The sequence below is a fragment of the Homo sapiens genome, chromosome 11 (assembly GCF_000001405.40).
Source record: "Homo sapiens chromosome 11, GRCh38.p14 Primary Assembly".
NCBI classification, from domain to species: domain Eukaryota; kingdom Metazoa; phylum Chordata; class Mammalia; order Primates; family Hominidae; genus Homo; species Homo sapiens.
Window position 1 is genome coordinate 62,759,451 of NC_000011.10, and position 11,669 is coordinate 62,771,119.

The following is an 11,669-nucleotide window of genomic DNA, read 5'->3' on the forward strand; positions in this document are numbered from 1 at the left end:
ATTTCATTTATATAGGCAAGCACACATGACTTTTTAGCAGGATTACATTTTTCACAGAAGATTGGTACATAGTTATAGCAATTTGGTTGGCTATAGACAATGTTTCTTTTTGGGAAGTATACATGTAACTTTTTTTTTCCAATTTTTTTTTATTTGGAGTTTCGCACTGTTGCCTGGGCTGGAGTGCAGTGTCAAGATCTTGCCTAACTGCAACCTCCGCCTCCCGGGTTCAAGACATTCTTCTGCCTCAGCCTCTGGAGTAGCTGGGATTACAGGCACCTGCCACCACACACGGCTAATTTTTTGTATTTTTAGTAGAGATGGGTTTTCACTATTTTGGCCAGGCTGGTCTTGAACTTCTGATCTCGTGATTTGCATGTAACTTTTTTTTTTTTTTTTTTTTTTTTTTTTTTTTTTTTTGAGAGGGAGTCAGCCGGGCGCGGTGGCTCACGCCTGTAATCCCAGCACTTTGGGAGGCCGAGGTGGGCGGATCACCTGAGGTCGGGAGTTCGAGACCAGCCTGACCAACATGGAGAAACCCCGTCTCTATTAAAAAAAAAAAAAGAGAGAGGGAGTCTTGCTCTGCATCCCAGGCTGAAGTGCAGTGGAGCGATCTCGGCTCTTTGCAATCTCAGCTTCCCGGGTTCAAGCAATTGTCCTGCCCCAGCCTCCCCAGTAGCCGAGTAGCCGGGATTACAGGCATGAGCCACCAGTGCCCGGCGCATGTAACATTTTTTAACAGAGGATGAAATAGTCATGGATTTCCTACACTTCAGCCTGGGCGACACAGCAAGACTCCGTCTCAAAAAAAAAAAAAAAAAAAAAAAGAGTTAATCTATAATCTGAGAACAGAAGTTGTAAACTATATGTGACTCGCAGTCATATCTCTCTCGAGGCTTAAAGTGTTTTTTGGGCTTCCAATAGCTCTTAAATTTTTTTTTTTTTTTGAGACTCCGTCTTGCTTTGTCGCCAGGCTGGAGTGCAGTGGCGCGATCTCAACTCACTGCACCCTCCGCCTCCCGGGTTCAAGCGATTCTCCTGCCTCAGCCTCCTGAGTAGCTGGGACTACAGACGCCTGCCACCACGCCCGGCCAATTTTTTGTATTTTTAGTAGAGACGGGGTTTCGCCATGTTAGCCAGGATGGTCTCAATCTCCTGACCTCATGATCTGCCCGCCTCGGCCTCTCAAAGTGCTGGTATTACAGGCGTAAACCACAGCGCCCGGCCTAAATTTCATTATTTTCTGTAGCTTCTTGGCCTTTTGGCTAAGGCTCGTAAACATTTTTTTTTTATTTCTACACCAATTTCTGTAGATTATTATGAGAATTAAGGGAGAGAATTATATCAAGCGCTTAGCACAGTGTCTGGCATCTAGGAAGAAAGTAGTAAGTGATAGCATTTATTTATTTATTTATTTTATTTATTGAGATGGAGTTTCGCTCTTGTTGCCCAGGCATCTAGGAAGAAAGCAGTAAGTGGTAGCATTTATCAATCTATCTATCTATCTATCTATCTATCTATTATCTATCTATCTATCTATCTATCTATCTATCTATCTATCTATCTATCTATCTGTTGAGATGGAGTTTCGCTCTTGTTGCCCAGGCTGGAGTTCAGTGGCAAGATCTCGGGCCGCCTCCCAGGTTCAAGCAATTCAGATAGTTGCCGACCGGGCGCGGTGGCTCACTCCTGTAATCCCAACACTTTGGGAGGCCGAGGTGGGTGGATCACCTGAGGTTGGGAGTTTGAGACCAGCCTGACCAACATGGAGAAACCCCATCTCTACTAAAAATACAAAATTAGTCAGGTGTGGTGGCACATGCCTTTAATCCCAGCTACTCGGGAGGATGAGGCAGGAGAATCGCTTGAACCCGGGAGGCGGAGGTTGCAGTGAGCCGAGATCGCGCCACTGCACTCCAGCCTGGGCAACAGAGGGAGACTCCGCCTCAAAAAAAAAAGTTGTCGTTTGATGGCTGGGGGGCGGGGGTGAGGGGCGGGGCTTAGTGGTTCTCGCCCACGACGGCGAGGCCCAATCAGACCCGCGGAGCTGGTGGAGTTCCGCCCTCGCGGAGGAGGTGGTGTTCCGCCCTCCTAGTCGCAGCAAGCGCGGAACTGGGGTTGCGGCGTCTAAGTGTTTCCGGTGGATTCCCAGGGACTGTCGGAGGTGTGGACTCTGCCTGCCTACCTGGTCTGGGAAGATGTTCTACCATGTGAGCAGGGCTCAGGGTGGCGGCAAGGGCTGGGTGGAAAGGAAGAGCAAGGCCAGGCGCCGGCGCGAGACTCCCCTTGTCGTCCAATAACCTGCCAGCGCCTGGCCTGGTCGCCATCCCACTTTTCTCCGCAGATCTCCCTAGAGCACGAAATCCTGCTGCACCCGCGCTACTTCGGCCCCAACTTGCTCAACACGGTGAAGCAGAAGCTCTTCACCGAGGTGGAGGGGACCTGCACAGGGAAGTGAGTGTCGAGCTCACCGCACCGCCAGATCGTTCGATGCGCACACGGGGCGCTATACCTGCAACCCCTCCCCAACTCCTACTCGTCCTGCCACCCACTCTGGGGACCCCTCTCCTCTCTCAGGCAGCCAGTTGCTTCCTGCTTTGGGTTCCCAGGGCGCCCTCTGCAATGCTGGACAATAAGACTTCCTTCTCTCAGCTGAGATGGGTCATTCATTGACTCCTCAAACATTTTAAAAACCCTTGGTGTGTGCCAGGACCCGTGTTGGGCTCAGAACAAGGTAGAATGGGAACAAGATAGAATGAGGACAGCCCCTGTGGAGCTCACAGTGTAATCATTGTTCCTGTGTCTGCTCTCCCTCTGTCATTCTGCTGGTTTTCTCTTATCCCCTGTGCCCAGGGACCACACACCATGGGCCTCTATATATCTTCTGAATGAATGACCAGAAAAAGCAGATCGAGAGTTTGGGGGAGGAAGGAAGTAGCCTGGGATTTGACCATCTCTGGGCTTTGCACAGAGGGGCCTCTCTGATATTAATGAGCTGGGACCCAGCTCAGGGCAGTGGAGTACTTGGGCCTCCAGCATCAGAAAAACCTGCAGGAACATGCAGATTCCTGAGCCTCCTTATTCCCTACAGAATCAAGACTGTCTGGGGCAGACCTGAGAATCTGCATTTTAAGAAGATGATTCTCAGGCATCCCGAAGATTGAGATCTGTTGCCTCAAGGACTCCAGCCTTCTTGGACATTTATTGTGAAATTACCAGAACAGCATTTGGTCTTACACATACTGATCTCTGTTCTGTCTTCTTTTGGTCATTAAGCTCTCTGGGAGCAGAGGTGCTATCTACTTGTCCTTTTGCTCTCCCCGACCCTACCCCCAAGAGCTCAGCGACTTTTATTGCAGATGTCTTTAGAGGCTCTTGGACACACAGTGTCTTCCTGTTTCTCATCCTCCTTGCAGGTATGGCTTTGTAATTGCTGTCACCACCATTGACAATATTGGTGCTGGTGTGATCCAGCCAGGCCGAGGCTTTGTCCTTTATCCAGTTAAGTACAAGGCCATTGTTTTCCGGCCATTTAAAGGGGAGGTCGTGGATGCTGTTGTCACTCAGGTCAACAAGGTGAGACCATACATAGGGGAGGCAGTGGGGTAGTCTCTCGGAAGATCTGGGTTGGGTTCTGGCTCCACTTCATAACTCTGTGCCTTTGGCTAAGTCACTTCACTTTTTTTTTTTTTTTTTTTTTTTGAGAGAGTTTTGCTCTGTTGCCCAGGCTGGAGTGCAGTGGTGCGATCTTGGCCACTGCCACCTCTGCCTCCTAGGTTCAAGTGATTCTCCTGCCTCGGCCTCCCAAGTAGTTGGGACTAAAGGCACGTGCCACCATGGCCGGCTATTTTTTTTTTTTTTTGAGACGGAGTCTCGCTTTGTCACCCAGGCTGGTGTGCAGTGGCGAGATCTCCACTCACTGCAAGCTCCGCCTCCCGGGTTCACACCATTCTCCTGCCTCAGCCTCCCAAGTAGCTGGGTCTACAGGTGCCCACCACCACGCCCGGCTAATTTTTTGTATTTTTAGTACAGACGGGGTTTCACTGTGTTAGCCAGGATGGTCTCGATCTCCTGACCTCGTGATCCACCCGCCTCGGCCTCCCAAAGTGCTGGGATTGCAGGCTTGAGCCACCGCGCCCGGCCTGCACTTTCAAATTATATGGTAATCTTGCCCTGCCTAACTCAGAGGGCAAGAGAGTCAGTATTAATAGTCATAACAATAAAAGCCTGTGTTGATTGAGTAGTTACTATGGGCTAGGTGATGTGCAGAGACTCACAATGACTCTAAAAGGTGGGTTTTTTTTTTTTTTTGAGACGGAGTCTAGCTCTGTTGCCAGGCTGGAGTGCAGTGGCGCAATCTCGGCTCGCTGCAACCTCCGCCTCTGGGTTCAAGCGATTCCCCTGCCTCAGCCTCCCAACTAGCTGGGACTATAGGCATGCGCCACCATGCCCAGCTAATTTTTGTATTTTTAGTAGAGATGGGGTTTCTCCATGTTGGTCAGGCTGGTCTCGAACTCCCGACCTCAGGTGATCTGCCTGGCTCAGCCACCCAAAGTGCTGGGATTATAGGCGTGAGCCACCGTGCCCGGCCAGTGGGTGCTTTTTACAGAAGCTGAAGCTTGGAAGAAATTAAGTGTACTGGCCAAGATCATGTGGCCAACAGGTGTTCAAATCTTGGACTAACACGTCCCAGGCCTAAGCTCTTTAATACTTTAAAATGAAAGCTTAGGCTGGGCGCGGTGACTCACATCTGTAATCCCAGCACTTTGGGAGGCTGAGGTGGGCAGATCACCTGAGGGTGGGAGTTCAAGACCAGCCTGGCCAATATGGTGAAACCCCATCTCTACTAAAAATACAAAAATTAGCCAGGCATTGTGGCATGTGCGTGTAGTCCCTGCTACTCGGGAGGCTGAGGCATGAGAATCACTTGAACCTGGGAGGTGGAGGTTGCAGTGAGCTGAGATTGCATCACTGCACTCCAGAGTGGAGAACAGAGTGAGATTCTGTCTCAAAGTAAATATGTAAATAAATACAAATGAAAGCTTAAAAAAAAAGAGAAAAGGGCTGGGTGCGCTGGCTCACACCTATAATCCCAGTGCTTTGGGGGGCAGAAGTGGGAAGATTGCTTGAGCCTAGGAGTTTGAGACAGCCTGGGCAACATATCAAGACTCTGTCTCTACAAAAAGTTTTTAAAAATTAGCCTAGCATGGTGGTGTGCACCTGTGGTTTCAGCAACTTGGGAGGCTGAGGTGGGAGGATCGCTTGAGCCCAGGAGTTCAAATTTACAGTGAGCTGTGATCGCACCACTACTTTCCAACCTGGGCAACAGAGTGAGACCCTGTCTCAAAATTTAAAAAGCAAAAAACAAAAACACAACACTTGAGGGGACAAAGAAAAGGCAAGATCACTCTTTTGTTTTTTTTTTTTGAGACAGAGTCTTGCTCTGTTGCCAGGCTGAAGTGCAATGGTGCAATCTCGGCTCACTGCAACCTCCACCTCCTGGGTTCAAACGATTCTCCTGCCTCAGTCTCCTGAGTAGCTGGGATTAGAGGTGCACGCCACCATGCCCGGCTAATTTTTGTATTTTTAGTAATGACGGGGTTTCACCATGTTGGTCAGGCTGGTCTGAAACTCCTGACCTCGTGATCCACCGGCCTCGGCCTCCCAAAGTGCTGGGATTACAGGCGTGAGCCACCGTGCACGGCCGTAAGATCACTCATTTTTTTTCTAGGTTGGACTCTTCACAGAAATTGGGCCCATGTCTTGCTTCATCTCTCGACATGTAAGTCTGGGCACACTGGGTGGGGCTGAGGAAGACAGATACTCATTCATCACCATCTATTGAAGCATCCATTTAAAGTGCTAACCTAGATCTCACTTTCCTTTCAGTCCATCCCTTCAGAGATGGAGTTTGATCCTAACTCCAACCCACCATGTTACAAGACAATGGATGAGGTGAGTGGACAGAAAGAAGTCAGGGAGACAAGGAGAGAATCAGCCATCCTGAGGGAGAATATTGGCCTGGGGATGGCTGAGTACAGATGGTCCCCGAATTACCATGGCTTGATTCATGATTTTATGACTTTACGATGGTGTGAAAGTGATGTGCATTCAATATGCCCCCGGGCTTACAGTGAAGTGATTGTGATGTAACTTCTCATAAACTGAGGAGCATCTGTACACTGTTCCCTCCTCTCCTCAGGATATTGTGATTCAGCAGGACGATGAGATCCGCTTAAAGATTGTGGGGACCCGTGTGGACAAGAATGACATTGTGAGTCTTTTCCCCACCTCTCTACCTATACCAGGTTGAGCTGAGAACTGTCGATTTCTTTTTTCTTTTTTTTTTTTTTTTGAGACGGAGTCTTGCTCTGTCACCCAGGCTGGAGTGCAGTGGCGCGATCTCGGCTCACTGCAAGCTCTGCCTCCCGGGTTCATGCCATTCTCCTGCCTCAGCCTCCCGAGTAGCTGGGACTACAGGCGCCCGCCACCACACCTGGCTAATTTTTTATATTTTTAGTACAGACAGGGTTTCACCATGTTAGCCAGGATGGTCTCGATCTCCTGACCTAATGATCCACCCGACTCGGCCTCCCAAAGTGCTGGGATTACAGGTGTGAGCCACCGCGCCTGGCCGAGAGCTGTCGATTTCTTACCACCCACAGTTTCAGGGGGTTCTGTGCTCTTCTGCCAGGAAGAAGGGATGGATGGGCAGAAGGCCTGGGGCTGCAGGGTGGAGGTTGGTTCTGTGCTCATCTTGGCTTCACTTTCTTTTTACCATCTTTCTTGCAGTTTGCTATTGGCTCCCTGATGGACGATTACTTGGGTGAGTGCCTGATCATAGGTGCTGGGGTTATTGCCTGGAGAAGGGATGTGTGGGGGTGGGGAGTAATATAGGATTCAATGCCCAAATCAGAGAGACAGAAGAAACTTTCATGCTGTCTGCTTGAAAGATCCAGGACATTTGCCTTGGGATGAGGAGTACATGGTTGTGGCTACCCTAAATTCCGGTTCTAACTGATATGCTTTTTCTGGTTTCGCAGGGCTTGTAAGCTGAGCCTGGTGGCCTCCTACCCTTGGTCCTACTCTAGGAAGTGTGATTGTCACACTTATCATGTTGTCCAGAGGTCCAGTCTGGCTGCTGTTGTGGAGGCAAGGAAGGCAACTCATCCCAGAAGGCATCTGGTGCTTCTTGTAGCTTAACTACTGCCTCCTCATTTTTCAGTATGTGTTCTAAGTATAAAAAGTCCTTGGTTCTCATGGAAGTGTTATCTTCTTTTTTTTTTTTTAGCAGGAACAATAACTCTTTAAAGAGGCTGTGGAGTTGGCTGCTTACTAGCCCCTCTTTTTCTTAGACTGATGCCTCTACTAGCCTCAGCCACCCAGGGGAACTGACTAACCCATTTGTCCAGGTTTAAAGGTGACCTCACTGAAGTCAAGGCTCTGATGTTGGGTCTTTGGCTTCCAGCAAATGATACCATCATTAGTGGCATTCTGGGTCCTGATCTAGTTCCAGAGTGTTTGCTCTTCTCCTGCCCTTAAAAGTAACCAAGAGCATAGCTGGGAAAGAAGGGAGAGGAGACAGCAGACAGGGAGAGATGAATAAGAGGCTAGTAATGACACAGACTGTAGGATCTCAACACAGCCTTTCCTAAGTTGGGTATATAAACAATAGTATATCACTATACTAAACTGAACTGAAGATGTAAAAGGGCTCACAATCTAGTTAGGGTGACAAAAAATGTATGAAATGCCTACAGGATTAAAGAAACATGCCAATTTTCCCTGGCACTATACCTCTGCAATACTATTTTGTCTACCTTGGAATGCCCTTTCCCAGCTTGTCCATTTCCTATCTACTAATCTATGAAATCTCATTTCAATTATTATTATTATTTTTTCTTTAACTTTCTTTGACTTCCCTGGGAAACAGAGCTCTGTGGCAGAAAACAAGAAAGCATGGTATTTGGATTGATACAGAGCTGGTTTAAGTCTTAGCTGGACTCAAGAGGATAAGAGATGAGGCAGGTAAATTGCTTGAACCCGGGAGGGGGAGGTTGCAGTGAGCTGAGATCCCTCCACTGCACTCCAGCTTGGGCTTCAGAGTGAGACTCCATCTCAAAAAAAAAAAAAAAGAAAAGAAAAGAGTCTTAGCTGGATGACCTTCTGTTTCCTCATTATAAAATGGGCAGAAAACCCTCTTTGGAGGCTGCTGTATCAGACATCATATGTTCAAGTGGCTGGCATAGAGCCTGGTCCATGATGGGCACTCAACTTTTAATTATCATAATTATTATATAATGCATCCCAAAGCCAGTGCAGTGGTGTGTATCTGTAGTCTCAGGTACTTAGGAGGCTGAGGTGGGAGGATCACTGGAGTCCTGGAGTTCTTCCTAAGTTCTCAAATAGGGGAATAACACCAAGCCTGAAAGGAAGAAATTGATGGACAGAGAAGCAGCTCATGGATCCTGAGCATGTGGGTGCTGGTGAGGATGTAGGGTGTGGCATCGAAAAGGCTGGCACTAATTAAAAAAAAAAAGGAAAAAAAAAAAGCCTGGCACTCTAGTGGGGAAGGGAACAAGTGGGGATGCCCTGGAGATGGTTTCCAGAACTCTTCTGAGCTTTTTTTTTTTTTTTTTTTTGAGACAGAGTCTCACTCTGTCGCCCAGGCTGGAGTGCAATGGTACGATCTTGGCTCACCGAAACCTCCGCCTCCTGGGTTCAAGGGATTCTCCTGCCTCAGCCTCCCAAGTAGCTGGGATTACAGGCATGTGCCACCACGCCCAACTAATTTTGTATTTTTAGTAGAGACAAGGTATCTCCATGTTGATCAGGCTGGTCTCAAACTCCTGACCTCAGGTGATCTGCCCGCCTCGGCCTCCCAAAGTGCTGGGATTACAGGCATGAGCCGCCGCGCCCCGCCTCTTCTGAGCTTTTAAGGTTGGTACTAAGGGATTCTGAAAGTTACAGCCTCCTAAAGCGGTCACAGGCTAATAGAGTACCATGTGCTTGGCAACATGCTAAATCCTTTACACACTTTTCTGAATCTTCACAACAGTTCCATGGAGTAGATTTCGTTATCCCGCTTTATAGTTGATGAGACAGGTCAGACAGGTGAACTAATATGCCTAAGGTCACACAGCTGGTGAGCTGTGATTTTTTAAAAACAGTCTGGGCTTGTTGTGGTGGCTCATGCCTGTAATCCCAGCACTTTGAGAGGCCGAGGTGCGCGGATCACTTGAGGTCAGGAGTTTGAGAACAGCCTAGCCAACATGGCAAAACCCAGTCTCTACTAAAAATACGACAATTAGCCAGGTATGGTGGTGCGTGCCTGTAATCCCAGCTACTCAGGAGGCTGAGGCACAAGAATCGCTTGAACCGGGGAGGTGGAGGTTGCAGTAAGCTGAGATTGCTCCACTGCATTCTAGCCTTAGCAACAGAGCAAGGACTCTGTCTCAAAAAAAAAAAAAAAAAAAAATTGGCCGGGCATGGTGGCTCATGCCTGTAATCCCAGCACTTCGGGAAGCTGAGGCGGGCGGATCACAAGGTCAGGAGTTGAAGACCAGCCTGGCCAACATGGCGAAACCCCATCTTTACTAAAAATACAAAACTTACAGCACTTAGCCAGGCATGGTGTCGGACACCTGTAATCCCAGCTCCTCCAGAGGCTAAGGCAGGAGAATCACTTGAAACTGGGAGGGCAGAGGTTGCAGTGAGCTATCACGCCACTGCACTCCAACCTGGGCGACAGAGCGAGACTCAGTTTCAAAAAATAAATAAAAATAAAAATAAATGAATAAAAACAGTCTGACTTTGACCAGGCACAGTGGCTCATGCCTGTAATCCCAGCACTTTGGGAGGCAGAGGCGGGTGGATCACAAGGTCAGGAGTTGGAGACCAGCCTAGCCAACATGGTGAAAACCCTGTCTCTACTAAAAACACAAAAATTAGCTGGTGGTAGTGGCAAGTGCCTGTAATCCCAGCTACTTGGGAGGTTGAGGCAGGAGAATCATTTGAACCTGGGAGGTGGAGGTTGTAGTGAGCCAAGATTGCGCCACTGCACTCCAGCCTGGGCAACAGGGTGTTACTCCGTCTCAAAAAAAGGAAAAAAGAAAAAAAGTCTGACACCAAAGCCATCATAGTTCTTGCCAGGCATTGGGTGTGTGGAGCGAGCCACCTTTCTCCCATCTGTGGCCATGGAGGTCTCACTACTGCCTTCCCTGGTTCCTGCCTCCACTCAGATTGGGAGCAAATGAGCTCCAGACAGGTTGGATACAGGTTCACTACATCTAATAGGTCCCGGGCAGTCCCGGTCTCCCTCCCATCTTCTAGTGTCTCCAAGGTTGCTGATGGCTGTCCAGAACAGTAAACCTAAGCAAGGAGGTCAGCCAGCTGCCCAGGTCTGGCTAAGCTGACTTCAGGCTCAGTCAGACCTTAGAGGAGAGCGCCCTCTCTCTTTCCCTTAACGCACAGGTGGGCAGACACTTGAAACCACTTCTAATATGGTTCTGAATATGAGTGGAAGAGACTCAGCAGGGTCACATTCTCCTTAGGTGGGGTTGCCATGGCAACCACAGTCGCATCCATCTGGCTTTGCCAGCTCGGGTCCCAGGGGATTTTCTTTTCCAGCGGCAGCAGCATCTAACCCTGAGAGGGGGAAAGAGAAAAAATGTGTACATTCATGCTCCCTTGCAGAATGTTCCCACAGTTCACTCAGTGCAAACTACCCCATCTTGGGTGAACTTAAAGGAATTCACTGTATGCCTTGTGACATGTGAGGGAAAGAAAGTTTCTCTCTTTTTTTTTTGAGACGGAGATTCACTCTTGTTGGCCAGGTTGGAGTGCAGTGGCGCGATCTCGGCTCACCACAACCTCCGCCTCCCGGGTTCAAGCAATTCTCCTGCCTCAGCCTCCCGAGTAGCTGCGATTACAGGCATGTGCCAACACACCCGGCTAATTTTGTATTTTTAGTTGAGATGGATTTTTCTCCATGTTGATCAGGCTGGTCTTGAACTCCCGACCCCAGGTGATCCCCCGCCTCGGCCTCTCAAAATGTTGGGATTACAGGCGTGAGCCACCGCGCCCGGCCGGGAAAGAAGTTTAACCTCCAACTCTGCCAGGGACTCTCACAGACATTAATTTACAACAACCCTGTGAAGTGCGCATTATTACTCCATATTAGGTAATTTGCCCAAAGGCAGTGTCAGAATTTTAACCCAGGTCGGTCTGATTCCAAATACCATCCTTTACTCACTAAGCCCACTGCTTATCAATTAAGAACTGCCCAAGTAGCTGCTATTGCAGTGGGAGTTGGAGAAAGAGAGCTGTCAGTGTGCGTGTCCAACGGTCATGCAAGGCGAGGTAGGCCAGGGCTTGTATTTGGTTCACAGGCGTGGGGAGAATGCGAAGTAGGTGCAGAAAGAGCAGAACCCTGGAGTCCGGAGCTTGCACGGGATGTTCGGCCGGGTCAGAAGTCCCTTCTGCCTGCCGAGAACACCTACCGAGAGCCCCATCTATCCCTTCAGGAAGGGGAAGTGGCATGTGATGTTGGGGAGGTAGGCCGGGCAGGAAAACTAAGCCAGACACCAAAATCTAAAGCTTTGCTGCAGTCGCGAAAATGCGGGTGCTCAGAAACTCGCGAGCAAACAAGACAAAGAAAATCAAGACGC

General features: G+C 49.0%; 1 protein-coding gene across 1 annotated transcript, besides 2 other annotated features; it reads left to right on the forward strand.

Annotated features, from left to right (window-relative positions):
• POLR2G (RNA polymerase II subunit G) lies at positions 2,130-7,260 on the forward strand. Its single transcript, NM_002696.3, has 8 exons — positions 2,130-2,210; positions 2,345-2,454; positions 3,417-3,576; positions 5,732-5,782; positions 5,890-5,955; positions 6,203-6,274; positions 6,793-6,826; positions 7,044-7,260. Exons 1-8 carry the CDS (start codon positions 2,199-2,201, stop codon positions 7,055-7,057), a joined length of 519 nt encoding a protein of 172 aa, NP_002687.1. The 5' UTR covers positions 2,130-2,198; the 3' UTR covers positions 7,058-7,260.
• Positions 2,139-2,338: an enhancer, noted in NCBI's record as "active region_4844". NCBI's record gives its function as "activates an Ori minimal core promoter by ATAC-STARR-seq in GM12878 lymphoblastoid cells {active_cell/tissue: GM12878}" and the evidence as "EXISTENCE:reporter gene assay evidence [ECO:0000049][PMID:35858748]".
• Positions 10,184-10,233: an enhancer, noted in NCBI's record as "active region_4845". NCBI's record gives its function as "activates an Ori minimal core promoter by ATAC-STARR-seq in GM12878 lymphoblastoid cells {active_cell/tissue: GM12878}" and the evidence as "EXISTENCE:reporter gene assay evidence [ECO:0000049][PMID:35858748]".